A 10,734-nucleotide genomic window follows, 5' to 3' on the forward strand; every position below is an offset into this window, starting at 1 on the left:
CCCATTCTACCATTAGTGGAGATTTGGTTTATTTTCTTCTCAGTGTTATTGGTGTTATAAATCAGGCTTCTATGAACATACTTGTGCCAATCTTTTCTTGTTTTTCTTTATTTTCTTCTGTTTGATTTTAACCATGGTTGTTTTGAGAGTTCCTCATTAGCTGACACTGTCATATCCACTGTGAGGAGTTTGTGAGAGGCCTTTCTTCTTGTTGTGTTTTCCCCTTTCTGCCCTACCAGTAATTAATTTTAATATCATGATGAGTCAACATAATTATATATTTTTTCAATTGCTTTAATTGTAGATCAAGAAGCTACTCTAGAAGTCGGAGCAGAGGATGGTACAGCAGAGGCCGAACCAGAAGCCGGAGCAGTTCCTACCGGAGTTACAAAAGTCACAGGTGAGCTTGTGATCTCACCCTGTGATGTGGTCTCCATCATGTCCACTTTTTAAGGCTACATAGGCAGAGGGGGTAGTTGTTGAGAAGAATCATGTCATTACTGAATATACTACTGGCCTATTTTCTCATGTAGTTTTTTCTATGTAAGAGCTGTGGAATTCTTGACTATTCCTCTGTTGGGATCTTATCAGAGTGAGGCAAGAGGAGCAGTAGAAATATTTAAGAAGCCTTGACCCCTACCTCCACCTCCCCCACATGCATCTTCCTTAACCTAAGTTTTACATCTGCATTCACCTCTTGACATGGGTTAGAGATTGGGATAGGAAGATTGTAGAGAGGGGACCAAGAGGAAGAAGTATATATATGGTGGGAAGGGTGGCCCCAGATTTCTAGTTCTCCTAGCTTCTTTCCCTCTTTTGCATCTGAGGTATTTTCTACTGCTGTCACTTCACTTTACTTACAAAGGTCCTACCTGTACAGACCTTTCCCCTAACTCCACCCAGTTTAGAGCCTCCCTAGTGACTATATGCATCTCAGAGAAGAACTGCATAAAACTTGATCTTATGAAATCCAATAGGCTTTTTAAAAAATCCAATATACTTTTGATATGAAAACAAAACAAATGTAGCTGTGGGATTTCACTGTATTTTCACCTTGATGGGCAAATAAATGTCTAGATATTTGGTATAGCCTGTCCTGCCCTGATCTATAAGATGATGGTCCTTCATGTGATTAATATTAGGACGTCCAGCAGGAGCAGATCCAGGAGCAGCTCATATGATCCCCACAGTCGATCCAGGTATGAACAGGGATTGGGAAACCACCAGTGGGGCAGAACTGAAAGATCTTGTTTTGTAAACTGTTTGTTCAAAGTGGTATTTTATTGAGTAACTAAATGCATATATTTGTCTCCTGAAACCATACCTTTTCTAAATGAGGTCTGTTCGACAAGTTTTATCTGTTGGCCCATTGTACTCCAGTGTCAAAAATGACAATATCAAATTGTAATGGCAGGTGTTTATTGAATATAATTGCCTACAGAGATCCACCAGGTTCAAACTAACTCGTTAACTTTGTGATATTTTTCAATGCAGAAAAGAAATTAACATTTTTCTCTTTAATTATGGTAAGTCTCATTTGGGGCAATTGTTAAATGTTTCCAGTACTTGTTTTGGAAATATATCCTCATGCTGTCACCTAGTGCCCATGTTCTAAGCTAGAACACTCCTGAGATCCTAAAAAGAAATAGGAACATATGAGTATCTGAGTGGGAAAATTTAGTGTTTGTTGTTGCCGTTAAAGCAGGTCCTACACCTACGATAGCTACTATAGCAGGAGTCGGAGTCGAAGTAGAAGCCAGAGAAGTGACAGTTACCACCGAGGCAGAAGTTATAATCGGCGGTCCAGGTGGGTCTCTCTCCTTTATCGTCCTTTATCGCACTGTAGGCCACGGTGGGCACTTGATGTGGGAGGGTGATGGGCTGCTAGTGGAAGAGAAAGTGGTATAATCTTCCAAGGACAGAAATACTTCTTCCTTTAAATCTGAACAACCCACAAGCAGCCACTAAAAGTGGCTTTTATATTAAGAGTTGCCAGGTAATATTTGTTGGTTATTATTAATGTTTGAATCTAAAATGGGTTTCTAAATATTCACATATCTTGGACAGACCTTTCTTTTGGAAAGAAAGAAGGCCACCCAAACCATGGCCACTTGCTTAAATAGAACCACTTGCTAGCAGTAGCCAGTTTCTCATTTTTTTTAAATAAAAAAATACATAATATAATTTGCTTCAGCAGCAGGATTGAGGTTTATATGTTGTCAATTATTTAGTAAAATACATTTTTTATGTATTATATGTATTATGTTTAACATATTTTGGCTTCTGCAAAAGTCTTTATGTTAACTTTTGTACTGTCCTTTTCTGGTGGCTTCTGGTCTTGCCTTCCCCTGTCCATTGCAACTGCAATGATGCTTGTAAATATCAGTCTGATCTGGATACTCCCTTGCTTGAAACTCTTCAAGGACTCCCTGCTGCTTTCATGATCAGGTCCAGCCTCCTCAGCACCAACTCCAGCTCACACTCTTTCTGGCTTCCCTCCTTTAAAGTGTTGGGACTTTTCCTTCTGCCTGGAGACACACGTGTCCTCTTCACCATCTCCCCTTTTGCCACTTGAAATGGCCAGTTCCCATCTACCCTGCAGATCTCCACTGTCCCTGGGCAGCCCTCCCTGATGCCTAATCCTAGGATACAGTCCCTCCCATGTGCCTCTAAGACAGCCCTTTGCTCCTACTGTGGCTCCCCTTGCTCCTAAATTACTTGTCTTGCTGACTATTCTATTCTGTCCTTGAACCCCAGAGAACTATACTTGGTTTTGTGTCTTTGTGTGTGTGTGTGTGTGTTCCCAGCATCTTGCAAAATGCCTGGCTCACAGTGAATGTTTTTCAAAATAACTGAATGGGACCCATGACCAGGTCCTCTTGACTCAATATCCCAGTGGTCCTGTTCATGCCCAGGGCCACCCCCACCCCTCATTGGACCCCATTTTGGTTTCCATTCCTTGAGTGAAACTATTTGTGCACCTTTTCCCCATTACTTTTCTCAGGTAATCTATTCAAATATTGATACTCATTTTGGGTAATATGGGGAAACTATTCTGCTCATTGGTTTTTTGTTTTTGTGGTCCCAGCATTTGCATGAATGAATTTCACACAAATTTCCTAAGATGTGATGTTTCTTTATTTTATCTTAATCTTGACATTACTACAACTTGTCATTTAAAACAGCTTCAAAAAGTCCATAGTGTGAGTCGGGCACGGTGGCTCACGCCTGTAATCCCAGCACTTTGGGAGGCTGAGGCAGGTGGATCGTCTGAGGTCAGGAGTTGAAGACCAGCCTGGCCAACATAGTGAAACCCCGTCTCTACTAAATAAAAAAAATTAGCTGGGCGTGGTGGCGGGCACCTGTAATTGCAGCTACTAGGGAGGCTGAGGCAGGAGAATCACTTGAACCCGGGAGGTGGAGGTTGCAGTGAGTTGAGAGCATGCCGTTGCACTCCAACCTGGGCAAAAAGAGTGAAACTCCATCTCAAAAAGAAAAAGAAAAGTCCATGGTGTTGCCATAGTCAGTACCCTACCTCTGTGTTATGCTGCATCAATAGTGCATCAGTTATATGAGTGGCTTGAAAACACTATTGATGTTTTCAAGCCACTCATATAAAAAACAAGCTATAAGAGGAATTCAAAGATTTTACAGTTACAAGATTTTTATATATTTTGTTTTGTTATTACAGGAGTTGTAGATCTTATGGCTCTGACAGTGAAAGTGACCGAAGTTACTCTCATCACCGGAGCCCCAGTGAGAGCAGCAGATACAGTTGAAAACGTCCGGATACAAATTATATCTTATTTGTAAATATCTGGCAACTTAGCTTAAGAAATGTAATGACAGTCTGTTGTTCTATTTCAATATCAGAGGTGAATTTCAAAAATAGACACTTCTTAATTGTTACTGGTTCATTTACATGTGGGGAGAAGAATTTAAAATACAGATATGTCTCCTAAAAATATTTTTATGCCACATTTTACAGTAGCCAACTATGGAAATGAATTTCATTTTCTTGAATCAAGAAATCGTGAAATTTATCTATGTATAATTTGCAATATTATTTTAAGTCTATTTCACTCTATCTTACGTATCCCTTAGAATACAGATTCTTTTTGCCTGTTTTTCCAGTTTTAGCATATATGCTGCCAAGCATAGAACTGTGAAGGAGAACTGTTAAAGGCGGCCAAATATTTATATACTGATTACATAGAGTCTTGTACATATGTGCTCTAAAAACAAACCACCCAGAATTGATACTGTTGGTAACCAGGAGTATAAGGCAGTGGCTCTGGGGTTCTTAATTCATTCCTAACTTCTTTGATACTTCACAGGATTAGGAAAGTGGTCATCATACATCCCACACAGTCTGTATTACTTCAGGCTTGTGGGCAAGGTTAGGAAGAATCAATCAGCCTTAACTATAAATACCTGCACTGTCTCTGAGGACTTACTATTTTATGTTCTTTTTAATCAATACCGATCAGAAGTTTAGGTTATAAAAACAATTCTACTTCATGCTTTGGTGCTTGGTAATTTTTGGTGCGTCTTTAAGCATTACTCTTATATATCATATATTAAAATACCATAAAAATGAAATTCAGACAAAATCACTGGCACCAAAAATGGTTTATTCTGAGCTGTCTTCACTTTGACTATTTGGGGGGCTTCTCTCAAGTACAGATGTGGGTTGGGGTCCCCTGGAGCAGGCAGGATTGGCAGTAAGAGATATTGGCCACTCAAGTCTACTGTGTGTGTGTGCCTCTGGAAGAGTGAAGAATGGACTTCAAAAGTAACATCAAAAATCTAACTGCCACCATCCTGGAGACATTTTGCAGGGCTTTCCTTTCAAGTCTTTCAAGTACAGGATATTACCACAACAGCAGCTGAACTGTTGTAACCAGCATGTTTTTCCTATTTCCACTGTGACCTGCAGCTGACTCAAAGCCTTGCGTGACCTGACCCAGGTGCAAGAGACAGGGGAAGAGGGATAGAGGGTATAGCATAAATTACATATTTTCATGGCTTTGGGTGGTTCCTCCAAAAATAATTGGACCTGTAAAAACTAGTGTGTGTGTGTGTGTGTGTGTGTGTGTGTGTGTGGTTTTTTTTTTTAATCTTTACTTTGAATTTGTTCCCCAAGTGTACTTAATCACCTTAGTGCCAGTTTAATCCAGTTATGCAGAAGAAATTCATATTGGTTGCCTGATGTAGAGCTCAGCACCACCCTACCACAGGCCTTGTCTGGTGTATTTGGGAAGTGGAAAAGAGCCCTCAGTTGGAGGGAGCTGACAACCCTTGGTGGAGGGAGGGTGCCCTTGAATGTATTAAAACTATCACCCAAAGAAGGTATGAAAACAGGGTAAGGTGGTCAGTTGTTTGCCAGGTCAATAGACAGAAAGTACATTAGAAAACAGGACTTAGGCCAAACAAACAATACTGGATACTGAATACAAAACAGTATGATTTATATTAAAGGTTTCCAAAGGTTGCCTGCAAAGGAGAATATTACTACTAGTCAGCAGGAAAAAAATGCATTCAGAACCCAAGCAGAAACTGCCAAATGTAATTAGGTTAAGAAAAGTTACCCTTGGGCAGTGTATTAGTTTTCTATTGCTGTGTGACAAATTACCCCAAATTTAGCAGTTTAAAAAACAATACCCATAGCAGTTCTGTAGCTCATGAGTCTGGCACAGTGTGGCTGGATTCTCTGCTCAGGGTCTTAAAGGCTGAAATAAGGGTTGGCAGGACAACATTCCTTCATGGAGGCTCTGGGGAAGAATCTGCTTCTAAGTTCATTCAGGTTGTTGGCGGAATTCAGTTCTTTGCTGGCTCTCAGCTGGAGGCCCCTCTCTCACCTCAAGGCTGCCTGCATTCCTTCTTATGTGGTCCCCTCCAGCTTCAAACCAGCCTTCCTGCTCTTTCTCATGCTTCATATCTCTCTCCCGTCCTCCTGTTTTAGGGGCATATGATTAGCTCAAGCCCACAGATATATTTTAAGGTTGATTGTGCGATAGAACATAATTGCAGGAGTACTGTCTCATCTCATCATATTCACGGGTTCTGGAGATTAGCTCATTGAAAGTGGGAGGGGCATTTTCAAATTCTGCCTACCACAGGCAATAACTGCCCATCTCAGCTGTAGGTGGAATTTTTACCCAGAAAAGATAGGCCCTAGAAGCCTCATTTCTTTTCTCCATGGAAAAGGACAGCCCTCTGCTGCAGCGTTCAACTTGTGTGTTTACTGACAGAGTGAACTACAGAAATAGCTTTTCTTCCTAAAGGGGATTGTTCTACATTTTGAAGTTATTTTTTAATAAAATTGAATTATGTTGTGTATTGTGCTTCTTAATAGGAAATGCATTATTGGACTGTTTTTGTAACATCCTGTTTATTGCAAATAGCTAGTATCGTTCAAAAACTGTATAAAATACTTTTGTACATATTAGCAATGTCTAATTTGTATACACTTCAGTTAAATTTCCCTAAAACTTGAAAGGGGACCTTGTAGAAATTAAAATATATACTTAGTCTAAGTCTGAGTCTGTTCATGTTTTATCTTTCTGCTGACCCAGCCAGTGAAGACACCTCATCTCCTTTGGCAGCTCCTTTTCTTCTCCTAGCTGAGTGTTAGTGGTGGGTGTAGGAGGTGGAGCTAGAGAGAATGTCAGGCAGAGATTTTAACCTACACAGGTAAGCATTAATGATGTTTGGTCTTCCTCCCCTGGAAAATCCAGATTTCCTCTACACTTTGTTGTCATCTAGTTAAAATGACCTGCATAAAGATGTCTTTGCTGAGGGAGGAATATGTCACATCCCATGTGTGAGTTTCTACCTAGAGACAGTCCATTTACCTACAGCCTCTACATTTCCCTCCCTAACGGCAGCGCACTAGGCAGTGCAGCACATGTCACTCACTCCCAGAGAAAACATTCATGGTGATATTTTTAGTATACACATAAGAATTTGCAGGGGAAGTACAATTAACTTTTGTCTCCTCAGAACTGAAAGGAATGTCTATTTTCTTAGTGAATACAACATAACTTATTGTAGTTAACTTCTCACTGCAGATACTCAGTTTTTAAACTGAGTTAACAGTGGACTCCTTAGTTGGGCAACTCCTGAAATTTGTCAAATCTGGATGCATTCCTTTAAAATGTAAAGAAAATGCAGGATCAAGTTCTGATAGTGGTAAACTTGATAGTTGGGCAGTATTGGGGGGAAAATGTGCCAAGGACTTTGGTCTTGACTCTTCTGAATTAGCTGGGCATTAAATAGGCGGGAAGGTAATTCAAGGAAAATGCCCCTCTTGCAAGAGATTATGGACACTAACTGGGCATCACTGTTTAGAAGAGACGGGAGGTGGCCAGGCATGGTGGCTCACGCCTGTAATCCCAGCACTTTGGGAGGCCAAGGCGGGTGGATCACTTGAGGTCAGGAGTTTGAGACCAGCCTGGCCAACATGGTGAAATCCCGTCTCCACTGGAAAAAAAAAAAGAGGCTCTACTCAGTTTTTCAAGGCAAATGCTGAGCCTTGAAGGAGTGTTGCAAACTAATGTGGTCAGGTGAAAGGATGTGGAAGCCATGCCTCACAAGGTGAAACGGACTGGGTTCAGATTTCCGGAGAACTCTGGTTTTTGGAACAGAGAATCAAGTCTGCTGTTCCCCACAGTGAGGCAAGAGCCTGCAGGCCCATGAGGGCCTTGTGGTAGAATGAGCTGGGAAGACAGCAGGGAGAAGTTCTTTGATGCAGTAAAGGCCCCTCAGGAGTCCAGAGGTGTCAGGGGAGGACGCTGGGTACCCTGAAAGAACACCTGTTCATCTCAGGACAGACTGGGAAGCTTGTCGGGGCCTGGTAAGTGCAAGGCAAGGAGAGCCTGCCCTGGCCACATACACACAGGGCTAGGAGGCTTTAGTGGTCTGTTTTCTTTCAAAGTTTCAGTACAAGGTAGAGATAGTGCTCCCTTGCTGCTGCCTCCACTCCTCACTGTGAATCAGAAGGCCCCAGGTAGGCCTGCTGCCTCTTGGAGACCCCAGACCCACCACTTACTATAGCCCATCAAACTCCAGCTCCCTAGACTGAGCTGAGCTTCACAGCCTGCAGAACCCAGGCTAGCTTGGAGAGGGTTGCATCTCTTCAGCCCAGAGCCTTGAGGACATCAGGGTAAAAGGAGTGGCCACCTATATTTCTAGTGCTTTAGGAGGCCTAGGCAGGAGGATTGCTTGAGGCCAAGAGTTCAAGACCAGTCTGGACAACATAGCAAGACTATTAAGACAAGAACAGAACAAAAAGCAGCTGGGCATGCTGATGCACACCTGTAGTCCCAGCTACTCAGAGGGCTGAGGTGGGAGGATCACTTGAGCCTAGGAGGTGGAGACTACAGTGAGCCATGATTGCATCTCTGCCCAGCTTGGGCAACAAAGCAAGACCCTGTCTGAGAAACAACAAATGGAGTGACCTGAGGTCTCAGGACAAACACCTGCATTCTGCATCTTGAGCCCTGATCCTGGGCCTCCTATGGCTCATAAACCCCTGAAAGAGGGTATACATGACTGGCACACTCAGACATGAGAGACAACCAGGGGTGCTCATCCCTTCCCAGCCTGCAGACGAGTCTGCCTCCCAGTGGACCTGGCCCACAGGGGTTGGGTGTATAGGCTGGCACTTCACCAGCCTCTGGTCACCTAGGACCTCTAGCAACTAAAATCTCCCATCAGGCCAGGTTCCCAGAGAAAGCCTAAGAAGAGTCCCCACTGACCTCAATGCCTCCAGCCTAATTTGGTTTTATTTTGAAGAAGCAGGGGGACTTCTATGAGCAACTATGCTATGGTACAATCGTTAAGGTCTCTGGGCCAGAACCAGGCTGCTTGGGTTCAAGTTCAACTCTGCCACTTCCCAGTTGGGTAACTGGAAGGAGGACAATTTGCTTGACCTCTATAATTCAGCTCATCTGAAAAATGGATGCTAGGGATTCCTCCTCCTAGAACTGTGGTGTATTAAACGTTTAGAAAACCAAGCATACATCAGTGGTTCAGAGGTGGTGGCCCCTGAGGTGGTGACTCTAGGAGAAGTGAAGGAGTCCCAGAGGGTTCATGTGTGGAGCCAGGTTCACTCACTAGGGAGAGGCCCAAGGCCCCCAGAACCAACAGGGCAGGAGAGGATCCTAGAAGCTGCAAGAGAGACGTGAAATGCCAAAGCCATGATGTTTATGCTGTGAGGGAACCAGGCAACCTACCGGTTTGCATGAGGCCCCCAACCCAGGGCAGCTGTAGCCTATTAGTGCTGGGTTCAGTGGAGGCAGAATTCAGGTGTAAACTCCACCCTTAACCCACCCCACACCCTGGGGATTCATGTTTTCCCGCCCTACTAGAACTTTGGGCTTCGGATCAGCGCCTAGTGGGTAGCTTTGAACTTCCCTGCCAGCCCACTGGCCACATGCTGTGCGAGTTGAGTTGCATTGCCTGTATTTTTCTGGCATTGCCCACTCTGCTCTCCCTCTTCCCCAGGCTCAGCTACACACAGCTCCATGCCCTCCGGGCTGACTCAGTCCTGCATTGTTCCCACACACATACGCATACCCACAACCTGGGCTGTTCTTTCTAACTTCAGTGGGGTTGAATCTGGTTTCCCCAACTAAGCCTGGGGACACTCCAGCACTGAGGGTAGATACTTAGGGAAATTGAGAGAAAACCCATGAGCTGTCTTCTAGAGGCAGGGGCATAGCTTTGCTGACCTTGTCAGGACCCAATCCCAAATATGTGAAGGATCACTAAGCTCTGCCCTTGCTGGGTGAGCGTCTCCAGACTCCTGACTCACCCCTGGGGCATGCATTTCTGGCCCAGGAGTCAACTCCCCAATAACTCAGTCCCTCCCTCCAGAAAGCCTGCCTTGACCTCCCTGAAGTGAAGCTCCTACTGCATGCCCCTCATCAGGACCAAGAGAGAAATTCTGCCTCTGCCTAGCTCCACCTGTTCACTCCCACCAACCAGACAACTCCTGATCGATAGGAATCTTGACTCCACTACACCAAATCCCCTCTAGTTCCCTGCAGATGCTAAATTGTCTCCACCTCCTGGCCTTTGCAGGCTTTCTGTCTGGAAAGCCCTTTCACTCCCTCATTGCTCTAGTTAATGTTCAAGTTCAAGCCTCAGCTCTGAGCAGCCCTGTGGGCCCACCAGACAGCTCTTCAAACCACTCCTTCCTGCCAGGTCCAGTGTTGCCAGGTGCCCACAGCTGCTCACAGAGCTCAGGCTCTGCCCTGGGACTCCCCAGCTGATGAGCTGCAGGCCAGAGAAGCAAGAGGGGAACAGCCGAGGCCTTCAGGGAGACTGAGTGCCTCCCCACCACCTGTCCCCTCCCTTCTCACCCAACCTCCAGCCCTTTCTGCAGCTTGACTGCTGGAGCTAAGGCCCCAGCAAGGCCCCATAGGGCCAGCATCACTACCTCAGTCACGCTGGCCACACCCTCTGTCAAGCTTTGGCTTGGCAGTGGGCCTAGCAATGTCCCATGCAGCTCTCTCTGCCAGGCTTCTTCCAGCCCGTGGAGGGGTCCCTTCTCCCCACCTCCCCTTCCCCTGGCTCCTGATGCTGATGCCTAAGTGATTTGTCCCGCTCTGAGCCTCAGAGTCCTTATCCAACCAATGGGCACACAGCCCCTCCCTAACTAACTCCTGGGCCGGTGCTAGGATCCACTGTGAGTCAGATGAGGAAGTGGGCTGGGGAGGAAGAGGC

General features: G+C 44.7%; 1 protein-coding gene and 1 long non-coding RNA gene across 12 annotated transcripts in view; one reads left to right on the forward strand and one right to left on the reverse strand.

Moving 5' to 3' along the window:
• NKTR (natural killer cell triggering receptor) overlaps nt 1-6,539 on the forward strand; it is a 48,124-nt gene extending 41,585 nt beyond the window's left edge. For 8 of the 11 annotated variants that reach the window (XM_024453539.2, NM_001349125.2, NM_001349124.2 and 5 more), the window contains 4 exons: nt 305-400; nt 1,143-1,199; nt 1,703-1,807; nt 3,692-6,539. In XM_024453539.2, coding sequence (XP_024309307.1) covers nt 305-400; nt 1,143-1,199; nt 1,703-1,807; nt 3,692-3,779 — 346 coding nt within the window. In that variant the 3' untranslated portion in view covers nt 3,780-6,539. The remainder of the gene's footprint in view (nt 1-304; nt 401-1,142; nt 1,200-1,702; nt 1,808-3,691) is intronic. The other 3 variants (NM_001349126.2, NM_005385.4, XM_017006474.3) reach the window with 1 other exon arrangement.
• ZBTB47-AS1 (ZBTB47 and NKTR antisense RNA 1) overlaps nt 1-10,734 on the reverse strand; it is a 42,079-nt gene that overhangs the window by 29,887 nt on the left and 1,458 nt on the right. The gene's annotated exons all lie outside the window — the stretch shown is intronic.

Source organism: Homo sapiens, chromosome 3 (genome assembly GCF_000001405.40).
Source record: "Homo sapiens chromosome 3, GRCh38.p14 Primary Assembly".
NCBI classification, from domain to species: domain Eukaryota; kingdom Metazoa; phylum Chordata; class Mammalia; order Primates; family Hominidae; genus Homo; species Homo sapiens.